At 38.7% G+C, this 23,428-nt stretch overlaps 1 protein-coding gene across 3 annotated transcripts in view, besides 1 other annotated feature; it reads left to right on the top strand.

Moving 5' to 3' along the window:
- Positions 1-23,428, top strand: part of TBCA (tubulin folding cofactor A) — an 85,174-nt gene that overhangs the window by 8,227 nt on the left and 53,519 nt on the right. The gene's annotated exons all lie outside the window — the stretch shown is intronic.
- Positions 16,184-16,821: an enhancer, noted in NCBI's record as "NANOG-H3K27ac-H3K4me1 hESC enhancer chr5:77047116-77047753 (GRCh37/hg19 assembly coordinates)". NCBI's record gives its function as "activates a minimal SCP1, AML or CMV promoter by ChIP-STARR-seq in naive and primed H9 embryonic stem cells {active_cell/tissue: H9 hESC(naive and primed)}" and the evidence as "EXISTENCE:reporter gene assay evidence [ECO:0000049][PMID:30033119]".

The following is a 23,428-nucleotide window of genomic DNA, read 5'->3' as shown; positions in this document are numbered from 1 at the left end:
GGAAGTCCAAGATGAAGAGGCCAGCAAGTATCTGGTGAGGGCCTGGTCTCTTGCTTCCAGGATGGTGCGCTGAACACTGTGTCTTCACATGGCAGAAGAGCATTAAAGGGCCCAAGGCTGTGTGAAGCCTCTTTTATAAGGGCCTTAATCCCATTCACAAGGGAGGAGACCTCATTACCTAATCACCTAAAGGCCCCATCTCTTAATACTGTAGCATTGGAAATAAAGTTTCAGTGTGAATTTTGGAGGGATACGAACATTCAAACCATAGCAGCAGCATCTTTATTACTTTTCTGTAGATTATCAACAGTGTGGATGAGGACTTAAGGATGAATGGTTACTGATCCCCAGGAGAGACCCTGGAACTTGGCTTTGATTTAAATTGTGATAAAAGCTTGTGTTTTAGTTGCTTGTTCTGTTCACTGATTGTCTGTGGAGGGAGAAAGGAAGAGTATGAACCTTGTGTTCTTGAGTAATTTCTAAGACTTTGTAATGATCATCTTTTTGTGACCATTGCTGAAGCAGTGATTCCCTACCCCCAAGCCCCAGCAAAAAATGTGGCAAGGCCAGTTTTGCTTTTTTATTGGACTATCATTAAGTTTATTGTGGGGAAGAGTAGACAAGTGAGTTTTGGAGAACCCTAATTTCAAAATCTATAAATGATTCACACAATGATTACAAGACATTCTTACAATTCTAGTGCTAGATTATAGTTATATCCAAATCCTTCTTACTGTTTTTTAACTGAGTTCTCTGTTGTTGTTGAGATCCTTTCACTTCCACAAGTAAGTTACGGAGTTCTGTGTGTGTGTGTGCTTGTGTGTATTCTAACTCGGTTTGTTTGTCTATATAGTATGTTGGAGCAAGTAGGCATCAGCTTTTTCATTAAATGTTCCTCAGCTTCTGAATAATACTAATGTCATGATTTTAATAAATCATTTGTTGCCTGAAATACATTTGTACTCTATGAAATTTTTGAAGACCTCCAAGTCTACTGAAGTGTATTTGAACTTACATTACTAGTATAGTATTATAATTTTGATTTCCAAATCTAGAATGTTAAGTTCTGAAGACGCTGCACTATATCAAAGTATACAAAGATTTTCTTAAGGCCAAACAGTTCTTCACGTCTTTTCAGGACCAAAGGGATGGTGTCTGATATATCATTGCTTTTCACAGAATTGTTTTTCAACAAATAGACACTTAATAGATATTTGTCAATTGAGCTAAGGACTGGAGGAAACCAGAAAAGGGTTTATGAGGGGGAACACATCAAGAGACTGGAAATAAAAGTTTGCTTTATAAATAAAAGTGAGAGCCGGGCGCGGTGGCTCACGCCTGTAATCCCAGCACTTTGGGAGGCCGAGGCGGGCGGATCACGAGGTCAGGAGATCGAGACCACGGTGAAACCCCGTCTCTACTAAAAATACAAAAAATTAGCCGGGCGCAGTGGCGGGCGCCTGTGGTCCCAGCTACTCGGGAGGCTGAGGCAGGAGAATGGCGTGAACCCGGAAGGCGGAGCTTGCAGTGAGCGGAGATCGCGCCACAGCACTCCCGCCTGGGCGACAGAACGAGACTCCGTCTCAAAAAAAAAAAAAAATAAATAAATAAATAAATAAAAGTGAGAGACTTAGAAATGGAGAAAAAAGAGAAACAACCGCTGTTAAGTAATAACCACCCTCAAATAGACATTTTTCAGGATAGTATTTTTATTTTATTAGAGATATAAAAGATATGAAAATATATCAAGGATTTGTTTAAAAGCAACAATTTTACATTTTTTAAACTAGGAAGAGACTAGTCTATTGTGGAAAATTTAAAAATTATTACAGTTCTGTCAAAAAGTTTTTGTAGTTTACCTAGAATTAACTAGAATAGATTCTTAAATTCTAGTTTAATAGAGGGGTCTGTGTTTGTGTGTTTAACTGCCTGCTAAGTTACATAGACTAATCCACTCCAGGTTATTATTATTATTATTATTTTGCAACTTAAGAAAAATAGTAGGGACATAGGTATGTCGAAATCTCATGGGGAGTAGGTGGTATTTCAGGGAAACAAAAGAGCAAAGGTTTGGTCCCAGTGCTTAAGGAATTTGTACATTGTTAAGTTATGCAGTATACATGTATATGAGGATTTATTCCTAGAACTTCAAGTATGAATGTACGAATGTATGTTTTTATTCTCATTTTAATGGATATGTAGTTTAGTTTTCTTTTTTTTTTTTTTTTTTTGGCCCTAGTTTTTCACTTGTACAAATGGTGCCACAATGTACATTGTTATATATGGCCCCTAGAACACATATGTAATGGTTAGCGTAAGGCAGAACTTCTCAAAGAGTAGACCCAGAATGGATTTCAGGTGTGTGGAAGTATATCTCTTCTCAGCTATAAGGATGGCCAGGTGTGGCCAAGAGCAGCCATGAGATACATGGGGGAAGAGTCATTCAGACAGAAGAAACAGCAAATTCAAAGACTTGAAAAAGGGAGTAAGATTGGCGTGTTTGAGGAGCAGCAACCAAGTGAAAGAGAGGAAAAGGGGGTAGGAGATTCAGAAAAGTAGGAGGGAGAGGGTACAGATCTTAGAAGGACTTCATGTAAGGACTTGGGCTTCAGGTGTCACCATCTCTATGAGAGTTTCCTGGCTATGTCCAATGTTAGTGCCCCCTTTTCTGTGTTCCCAGAGAACTTTGTAGTTTTCACTATGATAGTACTAAAAATGCATTAAGCTATTTGTTCTGTTTACTAGGCTGATAGCTTCCAAAGTATGGTCTAGGAACCCCTTGGGGTCCCTAACACCCATTCAGGGGTTCTGCAAAGTAGAAATTAGTTTTATAGTAACTAAGACATTTGCCTTTTTCACTTTCACTTGCTCACAATTGTACAGTGGAGTTTTTCAGGGGCTATGTGATGTTTGATACTGCAACAGATTGAATGTAGAAGCAGATACGAGAATCCAGCTGCTTCTCTTCCAGACATAAAGATTTGCAAAAATGTAAAATAGTGCCGTTTTTCTATTTTTTGTTTTGTTTTGGAAAGTAAGATTATTTTTCGCAAAATAGGTTATTTTTGCTAACATTGTACATTGATTTTGTTATTTTTAAGTAAATTAACAAATATATTTAAAATTTTTCTAACTAAATATTTAAAAAATTTATTTTAATTTCTAATACAGTAAATATTAATAGAGATAATTCACATAAACAAAGCTCCTTGGGTAGAGTCCAGATTCAGATCACATCAAGCAAGATGTTTTCTTGTTTGGGATGGAGAATTTATATTGGGATGGCTAGCAATGACTTTTGGGTTGTGTGGAAAAAGGAGACAGTTTTGAGTTGTTTTTGGTTAATTCTAACAGAAGATAAGAAAGCACTGTAATACTCTATATTATTGGTGAATAAAGTGTTTCACATACATATTTTACCATTGGTTGAGATTTAATCCTTCAAGTGCTAAAAGTATTTTTAAAGATACCTTTAGGAAAACATTTCCCCAAATATATACTTGCTTCATCGAATCACACTGAAATTTTCTATAAATTAGTTTTTTTTCTGAATATTGCTATAAACTTTTTAAAGAGGTGAACAGAGTTAAAAATAAAGATGGGAGACTTAAGTGTGCTGTAAGGAATGAATCCAAATTAGTTACCCCAGTAGTATTTTCTTTCTTTGGTTACTGGTTGTGTAGAACTGAATTAATCTTAATCCTTGATTTATGCCACATACTCATTATTGGTCCATGCACAGCCCTCATTTGTTTGCTGTATGCCTGTATTTATTACTTTCAAATAGTGTATTAATAACATGAGTCCATCACCTAGCACAAGAAGTAAAACAGTGGTAATAACATCTAATTTTGTGCTATTACCCCCACCTGATGTAACTACTATTTTTAATCTTGTGTTTATTATTACCTTTTAAAATATAATTTTATTTGTGTATTGCTAAAACGTGTCATTTACTTTTGGTTATTTTTTACTTTATAAGAAGGGCATTTTCTGGGACTTACCATTTTTCACCTATGTTGATAGGATTCAGCCCTAAATTTTTACTCTTAGGTGCAGTACATTTTTTTGATGGTTGTGTAATACTCCATTGTTTGATAATACCGCAATTTATCCATTCCTCTTATTGATGAGCATTTGGATTGTTTCACTTATTAACTGTGTTTCTATGTACATTCTTGTTCATGTCTCTGTTAATTATGTCTGAGGGTTTTTCTTGGGTATATACCCAGGAATGAAATCGTTTGGTCATAAGTATGTGAGTATTCATCTTGTAAGATGCGTATCTTAGTTCAAGCTGCCCTAACAACATACCATAGACTGGGTGGCTTATAAATGATAGAATTTATTTCTCAAAGTTCTGGAGGCTGGAAGTCTGAGATTTAGGGTGCTAGCATGGTCACATTCTGGTGAGGGCTCTCTTTGGGTTGAGGACTGCTGTCTTCTCATTGTATCCTCGAGTGGTGGGAAGAGATCTGGAGAGCTCTCTGAGGTCTCTTTTACAAGGGCACTAATCTCATTCATGAGGGCTCCACCCTCTTGATTTCATTACCTTCCAAAGACCCCATCTCCTAATAGCGTTACATTGAACGTTAAGATATATGAATTGGGGCATTGGGGTTGGGAGGAAGGGATGGGCACACAAACATTTAGTCGCTTGCAATGCCAGACTTCCAAAGGGATTGTACCCTTTTATGTTCCCAGCTGCATTATGTGGGAATTCCTTTCATTGACCCACATCCTCTCCAATACTTGATAGACTTCTTAATTTTACTCCATTATACTGTCTTTGTTTAGTTTTCATTTTGGAAAAAAATTGTTTTGCTTGTCTTTTTATTTATTTATTTATTTTATTTATTTATTTTTTTTGAGACGGAGTCTTGCTCTGTCGCCCAGGCAGGAGTGCAGTGGCGCAATCTCGACTCACTGCAAGCTCCGCCTCCCGGGTTCACGCCATTCTCCTGCCTCAGCCTCCCGCGTAGCTGGGACTACAGGCGCCCGCCATCACGCCCGGCTAATTTTTTTGTATTTTTAGTAGAGACGGGGTTTCACCATGTTATCCAGGATGGTCTCTATCTCCTGACCTCGTGATCCGCCTGCCTCGGCCTCCCAAAGTGCTGGGATTACAGGCGTGAGCCACCGCGCCCGGCCGCTTGTCTTTTTAAACAAGCGTCTCCAAGATAAATAGCAAAAGAAAAAAAGAGGGTGTGAGGCTCCAGACCCACACTCACTCACTTAATCATCTTCTTCTGCCTTGTATAGAATGATGTACATATATACCTTAGACAACCCAGAGTTTTTCCCTGGTGGAGAGGGGAGACTTTCAGCCCTACCTGTTTCCAGGACTGTGCACTTAGTTAAGGGTGTGTGGAGAGTGAGGGGAGGCCTATAGATAGTGGTTTGTATACTGGGTCCTGAAAACCCTCTTGGTGCTCTGTTTTTCAGGAGCTGAAGCCAAAGAATGCCAATAATAATACTTTTTGAGTGGTTCTTTTCATTATTGTTAATTAGACTTATGGTACCTTGAATTCTTAAGTTTGGCATAGCATTTCTAAAGAAAGATTGAATTATTTGTTGATAATGTTTTTAACCCAATACCGTGTGGTTTATAATTGCCAATGCCATAGATTTAAAAACCTGGCAGATTATACCCCTCATCTTCTCTGCTTGTCCTCAGCACTACTACCACAATTAAAAAGTACTATTTTCTTAAAAAAGAAAATAAATAGACCTTAAAATTGATATTTTCATTTTCTACGTATTAATCTTTTTAAACTATGCTAGCATTTTTAGTATTACATTAAGTAGAATTAGTCTTGGGAGACAACTTTGTCTTTTGTTTATAAATAGAATAATTCTAATACATTTCTTTTAAATGGGCAATATGGTATATAGTATTTGGTGATGACTGTCTTCATTGCAAACATCTAGTGAACACTCTGGCTACTTCCACAGTAATTTTGCTTTTCATGATAACTACCTGTATTTTCATTCCAGTATCTACTGTCCTTCCCCACATGCACATAGCCTGTGTTCTTTGAAGGAGAGTGCCTCACCTACAGCAGCTTTGGTGGGGGCCTATTAGACTTATTAAAGGCATTCCGTTTTCCTGGCCACAGAAACTGATTCTGCATGGTCATGTGATTTAGACTAATCTAAACAGGGTAAATTTCAGAACTCTTGCTTAGAATTCTGAGACAGAAGTATTAAACTTTCCCATGTAACTCTGATTGTGGCTGCAGTCTTCTTTTAGCACTAGAGCATCTGGCCTTGGGAGGTAGCTTGTATTATAAATAGCAGAGTGAAGAGACAAAAACAAAGTCCTTGATGGAAACATCTGTTGGACGGCTGGATCAGCCAGCCTTCAAGCAGGTCTTCCCTGCATTTTAGTTACACTAGCCAAAAAAAAAAAAAAGTGATTAAATTCCCTGAATTGAAAACGTGTTACTTGCATTAGAGTATTTTTTTTTTTAAGTATTTATTGATCATTCTTGGGTGTTTCTCGGAGAGGGGGATGTGGCAGGGTCATAGGATAATAGTGGAGAGAAGGTCAGCAGATAAACACGTGAACAAAGGTCTCTGGTTTTCCTAGGCAGACGTCCCTGTGGCCTTCCACAGTGTTTGTGTCCCTGGGTACTTGAGATTAGGGAGTGGTGATGACTCTTAAGGAGCATGCTGCCTTCAAGCATCTGTTTAACAAAGCACATCTTGCACCGCCCTTAATCCATTTAACCCTGAGTTGACAACAGCACATGTTTCAGAGAGCACGGGGTTGGGGGTAAGGTTATAGATTAACAGCATCCCAAGGCAGAAGAATTTTTCTTAGTACAGAACAAAATGGAGTCTCCTATGTCTACTTCTTTCTACACAGACACGGTAACAATCTGATCTCTCTTTCTTTTCCCCACATTTCCCCCTTTTCTTTTCGACAAAACCACCATCATCATCATGGCCCGTTCTCGATGGTCGCTGTCTCTTCGGAGCTGTTGGGTACACCTGCAGAAAGGCTGTCACTTCACACTTGGAGGATTGCACAGTGGCCAGGCAGAGGCGCTCCTCACTTCCCAGACGGGGCGGCAGCCGGGCAGAGGTGCTCCTCACTTCCCAGACGGGGTGGCGGCCGGGCAGAGGCGCTCCTCACTTCCCAGACGATGGGTGGCCGGGCAGAGGTGCTCCTCCCTTCCCAGACGATGGGTGGCCAGGCAGAGGGGCTCCTCACATCCCAGACGATGGGTGGCCAGGCAGAGACGCTCCTTACTTCCTAGACGGGGTGGCAGCCGGGCAGAGGCTGTAATCTTAGCACTTTGGGAGGCCAAGGCAGGCGGCTGGGAGGTGGAGGTTGTAGCGAGCTGAGATCATGCCACTGCACTCCAGCCTGGGCAACATTGAGCACTGAGTGAGCGAGACTCCGTCTGCAATCCCAGCACCTCGGGAGCCCGAGGCAGGCGGATCACTAGAGGTCAGGAGCTGGAGACCAGCCCGGCCAACACGGCGAAACCCCGTTTCCACCAAAAATACAAAAACCAGTCAGGCGTGGTGGCGCGTGCCTGTAATCCTAGGCACTCGGCAGGCCGAGGCAGGAGAATCATGGGAGCCCGAGGCCGGGAGGTTGCAGTGAGCCGAGATCACGGCAGTACAGTCCAGCCTTGGCAACAGAGGGAGACTGTCGAAAGAAAGAAAGGAGAGGAAAGGAGAGGAAAGGAGGAAAGGAAAGGAAAGGAAAAAGGAGGAAGGAAGGGAGGGCCGTAGAGTATTAATTGAAATAATTACTCAAATTCCTAATTTATGTATACCTATGTATAACATAAAGAGTGATTTTTTTCCTTACATAAACTGGCTAGGGATTTACTTCCTTCCCTCCTATGTCTTCTAAATTCTGCTGTTGCTTTAGGTTCAGCTTTAGCCTTTCAGTTTCCCTCCATTTCAGTGTCCTATTGAGGACTGATCCTCTGTGTTAGAAGTAGGAAAGAGAATCAAATGCTGTCTTTTCTTCAACCCTCCCCTCTTCTCTCAACTCTTGTCCAGTTCAGTGCTGTTCTCTGATTAAGGAGGATAAAAGGGAGAAGAAGAAAAAGGGCAGATAAACCTATTTTGCCTTGGAATCCCAGTCATTTATTCTCAAACTCTGACATTGCTTCTGTTCTAGTTTCTCATCTTAGCTCTTAGGAGGTAGAATAGTCACCACTTCAATGGCAAGGACTGTAATGAATTAGCAGGCCTTCTTGGCATCTAAGTTGGAATTCTGAATTTTTACTAATTATGCATACTTATAAGTATATTGTATAAGTATACATACTTATACAAAGTATACATAGTATTCTGTGAATCATGTTTCATGCCCATTGAAATACATTAAATAGGCTTTTGTGGGATGCTTCTGAAGTTTAACACCAAGTGTAACATTTTTCCTATGGAAAATGCCTACTGAGATGCCTAAACACCTCACATTAATAGGCATCTTTGCAGCATAACTGAGTCTTTAATTGGAAAATGCTTGGATTATATTGTGTAATAACCTGGTTTTATGCTTACTTTAAATTTTTTATCTCTTGCTTTGATGCGTAAACCAAAAATAAAATTCAAAGGCCCCCCATAACCATCTGAATGGACTCCCTCCTCAGCCAGGGCACTGTAAAATTTAACCTGAAACATTGGTTCAGACCATTATGGGAAGTAGGAGTCGCACATACCTCATTATACCCCTCCAGCATTAACATCAACAGAGACCTTAAATCTGATAAGAAACAATTACAATCTATTTTCTCTGAAGTCTGCTACCTGGAGGCTTCATCTGCATGATAAAACCTTGATCTCCACAACTCCTTATCTTAACCCAGATGTTCCTTTCTACGGATAATAACTCAACCAATTACCAATCAGAATATGTTTAAATCTACCTATGACCTGGAAGCGTCCCCGCTCTTTGATTTGTCCTGCCCTTCCAGATCAAACCAATGCAAATCTTACATGTATTGACTGATATATTATTGTTACAGTAGGTAGCTATAGCCAGGCATGAGGTGGGCAGGAAAGGGTTTCCCACCTACCCCCCCACCAGGAGTGTCAGGTGACCGTCAGGTGATGGTTTGGCAGTTATCCCACTGCCTCTCTAAAAATGATAATCGGCAGTTGGTGCCAGGGAGAAGCAGTTTCCTGATGGTCCCCGGTTGTCACACTAAAGTGATAATTGATCACAGACAGCAGGGAGCAGCAATTTCCCAAACAGATAATACTTAAAATTGGCAGTCAGTCTCCAATAAAATGTTAGGAATTGAGCAAGTGAACCCGGGCATGTGCATTAAGAGAAAATGGCAGAGAATGACCTGGGGGCATTCCACTGGAAGAAGGAAGAATGCCTCAGGCAGGCATACATACAACTTCCTAAACACACTGTGCATGCTCACCTCCCAAGTGTAAGGAGAGCACTACACATGAAGGCAGCCCACACTAAGTGAAGAGTCATGGGGAAAGGGACACAAGACCCTGGAAGTATGCCTGTAGCAGGACGAGCCGTGGACAAAACCTCTCAGACACCGTGTTGTAGAAGGAAGGGCTTTATTCAGCTGGGAGCATCGGCAAGCTACTGTCTTAAAATCCGAGCTCTCCGAGTGAGCAATTCCTGTCCCTTTTAAGGGCTCACAACACTAAAGATTTCACATGAAAGGGTCGTGATTGATTAAGCAATCTAGGGGATATGTGACAGGGGTCAGAGTGAAACAGAACAGAACAGGGAGTTTCAAAATGTTCTTCTTTACAATGCCTGGAATCCATGGATAACATCAGGTTCTAAGTCGTGAGTTGATTTTTAACTACTAGGTTTAGGCCAGGCAGGCCCAGGCCTGGTTTTGGGCCTGGTGCCAGGCCGCCTGTCTTTGATTTCACTTTCTTGTTTTTTTCTTAAAACAGGTACTGAGTATAAAACAATATAAAACAATATGAGAGGGTCTCTCTCTTCCCTCATGCCAACATATAAAACCCCAAATCAAAAGGTCAAACGCCACACTTGTACTTTAGGTTACCCTCTCAGGTCTCTTCCAAGTGTACTTTCCTTTCCTGTTCTAAAGCTTTTTAATAAACTTCTGCTCCTGATCTGAAACTTGCCTCATTCTCTTTTTCTACCTTATACCCCTCAGTCGAATTCTTTCTTCTGAGGAGGCAAGAATTGAGATTGCTGCAGACCCGTACAGATTTGCCACCCCTAACATATTTGGTGCCATGAGACTCAGATACCTTCTACCCTTGACCTTGTATCTCTCTAAAATATATAAAAGCAAACTGTACTCCAGCCACCTTGGGCACATGTCATCAGGACCTCCTGAGGCTATGTCACGGGCACATCCTTAACCTAGGCAAAATAAACTTTCCAAATTGACTGAGACTGGTCTCAGATATTTTGAATTCATGTTTGGTAACCACGGGAGGGATTCTGAGTGGAGGTGGCTCTGACCTTTGACAAATCTATTGGTGCTTGGTACCAGCTTGGGCTATCTTTATGGCTCAAACCAACAGGACAATTGGCTGAGGCCTAGGAACCCCTGCCTCCAGAGAATCCCTGATGTCCCAAAATTTGGTTGAGATCTAAAGTTGTTTTTTGTTGTTGTTGTTGCTGTACAACTCCTTTTCTGGAATTTTACTTGCTTCCAACAAGGAAGGCAAGTTTTCCTGCTTCCATGATGGTGGAAGGCAGGTAACTAACTCCTTTCTGAAGTTTCAGCTCACTTCCAACAGGAAAGGCGAGCTTGAGTTTTTTTCCTGCCTCTAGGATGCTAGAGAGCAGTCTTTAGCTGGGGTCCCGTTCCTAGGCAAGTAGCTGAATTGGGGTTTTTTTCTGGGCTAAAGTTAAGATGAACAACCAGCTGGCCTTAATTTCTGCTTACCATTAGAGCACTCTGTAATCATATTGTTGGATTTTTTGTTGTTGTTGTTGTTCTGGTCTTTGTCCCATCAGATTTGACCAACTCTACCTGACGTGGTCAGATCTGAATGAGAATTCCAAATTATGGGGAACAAAGCCTCTGAATTGGCTAAAATTCCTTACACTTGCAAAAAGAAAACCAGAATAAAACCAAGCACTTGGTTTCTGTATTTGTTTCCTGTCTTAAAAAAAAATTGTTCTTTCATTACTTTTCTTACACTCTATTGCTCCTTACCCCTTTTGCCATCTTTGGTACCAAGAAAAGGTCTAGAGAAGGCTTTTAATGACTCGAACTCTTAAAGAACTCACAACAAAGGTGCATTCACCTGTTTTTGGGGTGTTCTGTTTGTGGAGTTTCAAGGGTCATGGGCAGATTCTTCTTAGGTCTAACGCTCTGCTTTCCCATATTGCATTACCTGATCTCTTTGGCTTTCGGGGGTTCCAGAGACTACCCTGTACAGTGAAAGGATTTGACCTTGGTGTGTGTAATGGTGGATGAGAACTACAAAGTTAAAGGTGGCTGAGGACAATTTATAGGAAGCAGTCCTAGCTGTTTTTTTTTTTTTTTCCTCTTAGGAAGTTGTTCTTTAGGATGCTAATTCTAGCGGGCAAGATTCTTTAGAAGATTCTAAAGTCTTCATTGCCTTTCCTTCCAAAATTAATCTCCATTGGCTTGTCTGCACATTCACCTGAGAAACTGAAAAGTCATTTTCATAGATAAATGAGAGATTGTGTTTCCTCAGCTCTGAAGATAAAGGTCATTGTGCTCCTCCCAACCAGAAGGTGCCTCTGAGTGACCGGGAGCCCAATGGGAGTGTCTGGGGGGTTTACCCCTTGTGACTTGTGCAGCAGCCCTACAGGGAACTCCCAACACAATTAGTTTAAAAAGGCTTGTCTAGGAAATGCATATAGGAGCTGGTCACTCTGCACTTTGAGCCCTCTGGAAGGTGCTAGACCTCTGGAGAGAAAAATTGAGACGTAGGAGGGTGGAAATGACTCCATGGTGACACACTGTTGAGTCCTCCCCACAATCAGCACACTTGGACCCACTACACGAAATCCTAGGCTGCGGTCTGGTTCCTCCTTTTAAAAAAATGTGACAAACAAATCATCTAATAATGAGGAAAAACAAGGAGAACGACCCCCCTTGGGCAACCCATTTGTGTTTTTTTTTTTGTTGTTGTTGTTTTTTGAGATAAAGTTTCGCTCTTGTTGACCCAGCTGGAATGCAAATGGTGCCATCACTGCTCACCGCAACCTCCGCCTCCCGGGTTCGAGCTATCCTCCCGCCTCAGCCTCCTGAGTAGCTGGGATTACAGGCATGCGCCACCACTCCTAGCTAATTTTGTATTCTTAGTAGAGACAGGGTTTTTCCATGTTGGTTATGCTAGTCTCAAATTCCGAACTTCAGGTGATCTGCCCTCCTTGGCCTCCCAAAGTGCTGGGATTACAGGTGTGAGCCCCTGCACCCGGCCCCTATTTGGTTTTATGGTGCCTCTAGTTGCAAATGGTTATATAAATGGAAGAGCATGCCAGGTTTTCTAATACTCCAGCTAGTTACATATTAGGTCTGTTCTTGTGCACATTTTATTTATTTATTATTTTAAATTTTTATTTATTTTTTGAGATGGAGTCTCGCTCTGTGCCCAGGCTGGAGTGCAGTGTCATGATCTTGGCTCACTGCAACCTCCACCTCCCAGGTTCAAGCAATTCTGCCTCAGCCCTCCTGAGTAGCTGGGATTACAGGCGTGCACCACCACACACGGCTAATTTTTATATTTTTATTAGAGACAGGGTTTCACCTTGTTGGTCAGGCTGGTCTTGAGCTCCTGACCTCATGATCTGCTCACCTTGGCCTCCCAAAGTGCCGGGATTACAGGTGTGAGCCACCGTGCCTGGCCTCTTGTGCACATTTTAAACTGATGGGCAAATTACATTGAGGAAGAGTCAGATCCCAAAGGTTAACCTGTAACTATAAAATTCCTAAGTTCTCTGTCTCTCTGCTTTCTTTTCTGCCTGCTTTAAGTCTGCTGCTACTTTTCTACTGAGATAAAATCCACTGTATGAATCCAACCATTTCTTTTTGTTATTGTTTTTGCAAACCAGTGAGTTTGTATTACTATCTCATGGCTAGAGTTCTGAAGTAAAAGCTGTAGAACTTTGTTTTTATGAGTATGTGTGTGTTTATGTATAGCTACATGTATTTTGTTGTGTGTTTTTGGCCGCAAGGTACCAAATTTAGCTAAAAGAGTACTCATAAATTAAATAATAATCCCAAATACTTTTCAAGTTCACATGACTGAAGTAAAATATTTAATAATGTAACTTTTAAATTATTGGTAAAATAATATTAGAAATGTCTTAAGAATTGTCAGCATTTTTGTTTGCATTTATTGATGAAACAATTTCATTTTTATCTCTGCCAAATACTCTAAGGTTTAAAAAATAAACCCAGCCAAAACCAGAATGATCTTTGGTTGTGTAATTTTTAATAAGACATTAATATTGGTTTAATGAAAACAGCTATATCTTGAATTACTGGTAAAATAACCCTGTATATAATCTTAAGGTTCTTACTTAGGTAATCACCCAAAATTCACAGGATATAAAAATGGTTGACAGGGAAATAACTTTACATGATGACTGTCACAGTTTTCATAAATAATCTAGGTAAACTGTTAAGTAAATGTAGTGGAATAAATACTTGTAAATAAACTTGTCATAAATTAGAATCTAAAGTTATACTGAATATTTCATTAAATGTCTGGATATTTTTCAATTTAAAAAACGCATTGTAGGAAAACATTCTAAAAAATATATTCTTATTAAAAGGTAAATAATTTGTCTAATTCAAAGCTTATTTAAAGGTTATGTATAAAACAAGGTAAAAGGGACCAGGAAGTAAGAGAGATGTAAAGAAAGTTATAGAAATAAATAGGTATTTTTGGTAAGAAAGGTTAAAGAAAAGTAATTTTATGTGAGAAAGAGTCTTGTATGGTGAATTTTTATCCTAAAATAAAATGACTGGGTTCTTCAAGAAAGAGAAATATTCAGGACAAGCCATAGAGTCCAGACATGCTGTGAATGGTCTAAGTTTTAATAAGGTTAATAAAAAAGGAATTTATACAAATATTATGTGACTGGCTGGGGGCAGTGGCTCACACCTGTAATCCCAGCATTTTGGGAGGTCAAGGTAGGTAGATCACTTGAAGTCAGGAGTTCGAGACCAGCGTGGCCAACATGGTGAAACCCTGTCTCTACTAAAAATGCAATTAGTCGGGTGTGGTGGTGCATGCCTGTAATCCCAGCTACTCATGAGGCTGAAGCAGGAGAATCACTTGAACCCAGGAGGCAGAGGTTGCAGTAAACCAAGATGGCACCACTGCACTCCAGCCTGGGCAACAGAGCGAGAATGAAAACAAACAAAAAATATTATGTGATTAATTGGCTATAATTAAAGGAAACTATAATAGTTTTTGTTAAAATTGAACTTTGATATTAAAAATACCCTAATACAGAATTAAATAATTGGTTAAAACAAGATGTCATTAAAAATAGTTACTCAAAGCAAGATGTTTTTAATTTTTAAATTCTGTAATCTGTCTCATTTTGAAGTTATTCACGATATCTCAGAAGCTATACCCTGCTGCCTTACCTCCTTCTCTCTTTTATGAAGGCCTGGGATGGTAACTTTCTGCTTCAGCTTTTGTTGTAACATTTTTTAAATTAATGGTTTAAAGTAAGGGAGGGAATGTTTTTAAAAAAGCAGGTGAAAAATGTTGGATCTGCTTTTGTCTGCATGTCTCTTATATCTGTATATGTGTCAGGAGAAAGTGATACTTCACTATTAAACTGTGTGAAAGAGCTCTAATCAATTGACTTAAAGAAAAGTAAGGGCTTGCCATTCTGATAGAAGCTAGCTCACATGCCTTTTAATTCACATGACTTTGGTAATCTTTGGTAAGGTTAATTTGGTAAATTTGATCTCAAAATTCTCTTCAGTAGTTTAAAATCTTAAGGTCATGTTTTGTTAAATTAAAACCTCATTTTTTTTTCTCCCCCACTGGGAATTTGGGTTCTTAGGAGTTAGGTAGCAGGAGTGTAGAACATGTTTTCAGTGAAGTTTATAAAACACAAGGATGTGGATTTTGCTAAAGAAAATGTAATTTTTTTTTAAGAGTTGCTTTAAAATAAAGAAAAAATTAGGCCGGGTGCGGTGGCTCATACCTGTAATCCCCGCACTTTGAGAGGCTGAGGTGGACAGATTAACTTGAAGTCAGTAGTTTGAGACTAGCCTGGCCAGCATGGTGAAACTCCGTCTCTATTAAAAATAAGCCGGAGGCCGGGCGCGGTGGCTCACGCCTGTAATCCCAGCACTTTGGGAGGCCGAGGCGGGTGGATCATGAGGTCAGGAGATCGAGACCATCCTGGCTAACAAGGTGAAACCCCGTCTCTACTAAAAATACAAAAAATTAGCCGGGCGCGGTGGCGGGCGCCTGTAGTCCCAGCTACTCGGGAGGCTGAGGCAGGAGAATGGCGTGAACCCGGGAAGCGGAGCTTGCAGTGAGCCGAGATTGCGCCACTGCAGTCCGCAGTCCGGCCTGGGCGACAGAGCGAGACTCCGTCTCAAAAAAAGAAAAACAAAACAAAACAAAACAAAACAAAAATAAGCCGGACATGGTGGCATGTGCCTGTAATCCCAGCTACTTTGGAGGCTGAGGCAGTAGGATCATTTGAACCTGGGAGGCGGAGGTTGCAGTGAGCGGAGATCAGATAAAACTAAATGGATAAAAAGAAAAAACTAAGCCAGAAAGGAAAATCGGAAGGAAGGAAGGAAAAAATTATACAGATAAACCTAAATGGATAAAAAGAAAAAACTAAACAAAAGTTACCTCTGAGACCTGTGGTTACAGAGAAGATAGTTAATGTGGGGGAAGGGTAAAACCAAGTAACTATTAAACCATATGGTATAATGTAAACAAATTGTTCCATTTCGTAGGCTGGTATCATCAGCTTCCTGAGAAACCTTTACTATAATGGATTGTAAAAATAACTACTTTAAGGACAAATTTCTTAATTGTAAATGCTGCAAAATGAAGGAGCTTGTTTGGGTTGATGCAGGACCCACAGCAATTAAACAATTGCTGACGAGTATATGTGATCCAGATGCACAGGAGGTTATTCTTGCAACCAGCCTATTGGACCAGATGATCTTGGTACCACCCAGATCAATAAACTGGCTCATCTGATCTTGTGGCACCCCCTACCCAGGAACTGACTGAGCGCAAGAAGACAGCTTTGACTCCCTATGATTTAATCTCTAACCAATCAGCACTCCTGGCTCACTGGCTTCCTCCCACCCACCAAATTATTCATAGAAACTCTGATCCCTGAATGCTCAGGGAGACTGATTTGAGTAATAATAAAACTCTGGTCTCCCACACAGCTGGCTCCATGTGAATTACTCTTTCTCTTGCAGTTCCCCTGTCTTGATGAATTGGCTCTGTCTAGGCAGTGGGCAGGGTGAACCCCTTGGGCGGTTACAGTGCTATGGGACAAAATTAAGATTTGGTGGCCATTGATGTTGCCTCTGGCCACATCTCCTCTGGGGAGAATGTAAATCAAAAATAAAATTGGAACCCTCCCCCACCCCCAACCATCTTAATGGACTCCCTTCTTGGCCAGGGCACTAAAATTTAACCTGAAAGACTGGTCAGGCTGGCCGGCGCGGTGGCTCATGCGTGTAATCCCAGCACTTTAGGAGCCCGAGGCAGGTGGATCGCCTGAGGTCAGGATTTCGAGACCAGCCTGGCCAACATAGTGAAACTAAAAAATACAAAAAATTGTCTTTACTAAAAAATACAAAAAATTAGCTGGGCGTGGTGGTGGGCGCCTATAATCCCAGCTACCCAGGAAGCTGAGGCAGGAGAATCACTTGAACCTGGGAGGCGGAGGTTGCAGTGAGCTGAGATTGCGCCATTGTACTCCAGGGCAACAAGAGCGAAACTGTGTCTCAAAAAAAAAAAAAAAAAAAAAAAGAAAGAAAGAAAGACTGGTCAGGCCGTAATGGGAACTGGGAGTCAGACAGGCTTCATTATACCCCTCCAGCATTAACATCAACAGACCTTAAGTGTGATAACAATTACAGTCTATTTTCTCTGAAGCTTGCTACCTGGAGGCTTCATCTGCATGACAAAACCTTGGTCTTCATAACCCTTATCTTAACCCAGACACTCCTTTCTACTGATAATAACTCTTTCAACCAATTGCTAATCAGAATATGTTTAAATCTACCGATGACCTGGAAGCACCTTGCCTTTGAGTTGTCCCACCCTTCCAGATCAAACCAATGTAAATTTTACATGTGTTGACTAATGTATTATGTCTCCCTAAAACGTACAAAAGCAAGCTGTACCCGGACCACCTGGCCTCAGGACCTCCTGAAGTCTGTTTCACTGGTGCGTCTTTAATCTTGGCAAAATAAAATTTCTAAATTGACAGAGACTTGTCTCTGATATTTTGAGTTCACAAAGGTGATATTGTTGGCCAAATGTGCCTCTTACTATTTTTTTCTTTTCAATAGCTTCTGCTTATGTCTGTCACTGCTTCTTTTGCTACTACTAATTATTTTAGGTGAACTCAGACTAGTTTTACTTCTGGATAGTGATGTGAAAACTGAGATTATCAGAAGTCTGCTCTCTGATTCTTGCTTTACTTGGACTAGACCTTTTTTAGACACCATAGTATTGTACATTAATCTCCACTAGTATAAACTTCGTGAGTCAGGAACACATCCCCAGAGCCCTGGCACAAAAAGAAATCTTGATAAATATTGTAAAATGAATGAATTTACTTTGTGACATTTCAAGTTTCTTGAGGACAGAAACAGTGTCTTACTCCTTATGTCCCTTTAAAATTTAATATATTTTAAAATATTTGAGTAATTTTTTGAATAGGATATATATATCATATGTATATCATACATGGCACAAATATGTGTGTGTGTATATGTATTTGTGCTATATATATATATTTGTGCTCTCTCTCTATATATATAGAGAGAGAGCACAAATTTGCAAAGGTACAAAGAGGTATACGGTGAAACAGGAAACAGGAATCCCTGTCCACCAGCCACCCAGCTGAGAAACCCTCCTGGAGCGAACATCATTATTCATTTTTTGGTGTCTCTTTCCAGAAATGTTCTGTGCATGCACAAGTATTTACATACATATCTTCAAATGCAAATGGTAGTATACTTTCTAGATACTTTTTTACATTGCATTTAACATTAGAACATGTAGAGCAGCCTCGTTCCTTTTAAAGACTGCAAAGTATTCGGAATGGACATACCACATTTAAAAAAAACTAGTCTTCTATTGATGGACCTTTATATTGTTTCCAAAGTTTTGCTGTTTTGGAAAATGCTACTGTGAATTTCCTTGTTTGTTGCTTTACAAATTGGCAGATTTATCTGTAGAATAAATTCCTACAAGTGCAATTGCCGGCTTAAAGGGTACTATGTGTGTTTTACGTATTGAGAGATATTGGCAAATTGGCCTTAAAGAGTTCTATTGACTATTTATAGTTCTACTAATGATTTATACAGTATTTTGTTAACACGGCCTTTTGGTCTGGAAATAATTACACTGTAAGACAGTACAGTTGAAATATCAAAGAAATTAAAACAAAGTTAGGTATGTCATAAATATATGAAATATGTGTAGACACTAGTCCATTTTATCATTTGCTACCATAAAATATGCACACATCTGTTATACAAAGTTAAAATTTATCAAAACATATAAACACAGAACATGCATAGCATAATTTGTGGTTGAGAAATGTAAACAAGTGTAAAGATGCAGTATTATTACGCATATAATAACTGTAGTCCATGCTGTACTACTGTAATAATTTTGTAGCCACCTCTTGTTGCTGTTGTGACTCACTCAGTGTTGACACTCATCACCTTCTTGTGAACAGTTCATCTCTTCAGTAAATTGTGTTTTAACATTAAAAAGTGATCTCTCGCGGTTCTCATGTATTTTTTGTGTTTAGTGCAATAATGTAAACCTTGAATGTAAATCTTGAATAACACCATGGGACCCACTAGTGGTGCTGAAAGTGCCCCAAAGAAGCAGAGAAAAGTCATGACATTACAAGAAAAAGTTGAATTGCTTGATACGTACCTGTAGATTGAGGTCTGTGGCTGCATTTGCCACCATTTCAGGCAGATGGTTCCTCTTGTAAACAGGCAACATAAACTTAAGGTGTTGGTAAACACAGTACAATACTGTAAATGTATTTTCTCTTCCTTATGATTGTCTTAATATTTTTTCTCCAGATTATTTTATTGTAAGAATACAGCATGTAATACATATAACGTACAAAATATGTGTTAATTGACTTTATGTTATTGGTAAGGCTTCTGGTCCACAGTAGGTTATCAGTAAAGTTTTTGGGGAGTCAAAAATTTTATGCAGATTTTCAAACATTAGGAGGGTCAGCACTTCTATTCTGTCTCCATTGTTTAAGGGTCAACTGTACAAGAAGTGGCAATGCCCAAGTATGTTTAGCTTTTTTAGGAAAGTACTTTCTACATCATTGTAAATTTTAAGATAAGAACAAATTAGGCCGGCAGAGATGCTAACCCATTTAAATTAATTTCACTTTGAATATAGTTCTAAAAGGAGAAAATCTTAAAAAAAAAAAGCAAAACTAAATCGTAGAGCTGATGAAGTATCCCTTAGAGATTCTTAGATATTCTCATTTTCTGTCTCTGAGTCTCTCCCTCCCCCATATTCCTCTCTCCCCCTCCATATCTCTCTCTCCACACACACGCAGAAATAGACAAGAGAAGTAGGTGGTAATTAGTTTGCTCAGGATTACCCAGCTAATTACTGGTAGAGCCAGAACTGTGGGAAACATTCCATATTACTACATTACAGTTATTTCACAGATGTGGATTCCTCAGAATGGCTTTTTTGTTGAAATTTTTTTAAGTCTTAGATTTTATTTAACATTTAGTCCTTGAAACTAGGTTCAGTGAACTTCAACCATTTTTTTCAGTTTTATCATTTGAATTTCAGTTTTTAAATAATTTTGTGATAGCTGAAGAATAACCATTGCTTATGCTAGAAACTAAGTTAGCTTGGTAAACAGTTCTGTATTAGTGATCTCAAGAGGCTTTGCATATGAATTGCTTTAGTTTCTGAGAAGATCATCTTGATTTCTCCCCTTTGGAGAAATTTTGGAGACTATGTTGAATATTTTTGAAAATTATAAGATAAAAACAAATTAACCATACAGATATGCTGAACAAGTTTCCTTCTGAATGTAGTCTTAAAAGGAGAAAACATTTTTCAATACAAATCTAAAATTCAAAAATCTAAAATCTAAACAAAAACACGAATCTGTACTTCATGTTTCAAACACTATTGCCAAAGTATCTATCTAGCCAAATAGAATAAGAAGAAGCAGAAAAAACTTTAAAAGACCAATAGCACCTTGCTAGCTCATTGCTAATAAGAACTAATAGGTACTTAAACTGATGAAAGTGATTCGGACAACAACATATTAACCCCCTACTGTGCCCTGTTTTAAGCTGTTAATAGACATTAGTCTTTTAAAGAAAGACTAACACTTCTATATTTGTTTTCTAAGCTTTTGATACATTAGTGAGCAGTTATAGACGCTTGCCATATCTGATTCTTATAGCACAGTGCATTTTCCAGAATACTTTTTAGGAACGCTAACTGCTCTAAAAGTTTAGATTCTATGTAGTCTTTAAGAGTTCTTAATGTAGTAAATATTTTATATTACGTTTTGATTATTGTAATTAAATTTTTTTGTAGAAGTTATTTGAAATGAATAAATGCTAGTATTTTTCACTGACAATGTTATATGTAGTGAAAGTAGTAGTTCTTCGATTTGATTTTTTTCAATCACATAGTAAGACCAGAATTTTCCCAGATTTTTTAGTACTGTCATCTATGAAATTTTAAGTATTTGTTATTTTCCTGAAATAAATTTAATTTTTAGAGATTTGGCTGGTAAGTGTATGTATGTATGAGGAAGGAGGATTTTTAAAGTGTAATTTTCTTAAAAATGTAAGTAAACTTTTAATGCTGACTCCCTCCACATTAGAGTATAATAGCTTAAATTTTTGTTTAGGTGCATTACTTTTATAGCACTTTAGAGAAGTGCTGTAGAAGACTTTGGTCCTTTAGTTTTTGCTGTTTTATGTTTTTATAGTAATTTCAAATATAAAGCTATTAGAAATTTGGCTTGATTTTTAAAACAATTTTATTTCGAAGAAACTGCATGATATAAGTAAATGTTGAAGAAAATGTTGGTTGGATTGATTAATGTTATGATGTATACGATTTGGATAAATTTAGACTTTACCAGAAATTTGGGGCTTTGGTATTTCTTTAAAAATAAGCATAGTACTTAATCTGTGGTCCAGATGGTACATTTGTAATGCTACAAGAAATGAATGATACGTGCACAAAGTGGTTTTCTATTGTTTCTCATCCCTATTCAAAAATTAAGGAAAAAAAGAAACAAAATATTCATGAGACTGTTTTGTACAGTTTGTGTTATTAAGTCTACCAAGTTAATATCGAAAAAGGAGGTTTAGACATAGGAATTGAGTTTATTGCTAAAAGTTAGTGATTCAAGGTAGTATTGGGGCATTGCAGTTTTGCTAGGATTAGTCTTTTGATTAAGATCAAGTGCATAGTATGACAATCTTCCCTTATCCCAGAATACTTTCTATATAGTTAAAATAAACCCTTTTTATGTTATTTTAGTATCAAAATTTACAATTTAATGTCCCACTTGTCTAGGGTCTTATAAATCAGAAATAATTGAAAAAGTAAAACAAGTCTTCATTATTAAAAAAATTATTTATTTTTATTTATTTTTTTCATAGAGACGGGGCCTCAATATGTTGCCCAGTCTAGTCTGGAACTCCTGAGCGTAAGTGATGCTTCTTCCTTGGCCTCCCTAAGTGCTGGGATTACAGGTCTGAGCTACCACGGCCGGGCCTGAAACAGTGCAACAGGTTTTGAATGGCAACTTTCAGATATCTCTAAAGGCCGAAATGCCCCGTTGGGAACCAAAGGGATGAAAAACTGTTTACTCTTCTTATGCAAGTTTTACTACTATTGAAACAGAAATGACCAGTAAACTTGAAGATATCAACAACTAATCCTTTACCCAACAGCAAGCATACAGAAGCTCATCTTTCTTACACTTTTAATTGGTTACCATAGTAATTAAAAGTCCCTGACTTTCTTCACAAGGGATAAATCTTTTCCAATAAACAGAGTTCAACAATTTTGGTGAGTGAACATGTGAAATGATAGCTAGTACCTCCCTTGTCAGCTGCTAATGTTACTGCCAATCTAGACTATGATAAATTTTCCTAAGCCTGAGAATTTCTTCACTGGATTTATTTCAACAGGTATTTATAGAATATCTACTACGTATAAGGCACTATATTAAATATTGACCACTGTTCACCAGAACTTTGTTATTCAGTTTTTGCCAAAATTGGCCCCCTATACCATCACCAGTTCTTAGCTGAAAGAGTGTAAGTGCTGTTTAACACGTAATTCATGATACACCCTAGCTTAACATTCCTTAATATCAGATATTCAGGTTTAAACTCATTGTGAAAATTCAGACTAGTGTCTTCCTCATATTATGATAAAGTTGTGAAATTTGTGATACTTGTAATTGTTACTAAGAAAAACTAAAGTTGTGACTAATTTTAGTGGCAAAGACAGTACTTTGAATTACAAATAAATATTACAGCATTTCTTTGAATTGCAAATAATACATTTACAAAGTACTGCTTTGAAACCAATGAGTGATGAGAAAAATACTGAAATAGGAAAGGCAGTTCTTTTATAATTATAAAAGTAAGGTAATATCACTTTTATACTTGTTTTATTGAATACTAATGTTTTCTGCTTCTAAAATCTCCCTTCTCTGCCTTGTGCCCCCAGCTTTTTCTTTCTTTTTCTTGTTTTGGCAACATAAAAAGGCATGGGAACAACACCATTAGTTGATATTTATTGAACATTCACTGTGTGCCGTTATCTACATTAGCTAAGCGCTTCATGTGTATGTCATTTAACTTTCACAATATGTAATGTGAAGTAGTTGCAATGACCCACATTTTACAGATGAAGAAATTTAGTTTAAGTAATGTACCCAAAGATACACAGCTGGGAAGTGGTAGAGCCAGGATGAGAACACCTGTTGAGTAACACCAGTGTACTGGCTATACCTTTTTATACTTTGACAAATTTATATGAGAGGAAACTGTGGATGAAGAAAGGTGAATAAGAGGCTGGGTGCAGTGGCTCACGCCTGTAATCTCAGCACTTTTGGAGGCCGAAGCGGGTGGATCACTTGAGGTCAGGAGTTCGAGACCAGCCTGGCCAACATGGTGAAACCCCGTCTCTACTAAAAATACAAAAATTAGCCGTGCATAGTGGT

This window comes from Homo sapiens, chromosome 5 (genome assembly GCF_000001405.40).
Source record: "Homo sapiens chromosome 5, GRCh38.p14 Primary Assembly".
In the NCBI taxonomy this organism is placed as follows: Eukaryota; Metazoa; Chordata; class Mammalia; order Primates; family Hominidae; genus Homo; species Homo sapiens.
This window is presented reverse-complemented; position numbering and strand designations above follow the sequence as displayed.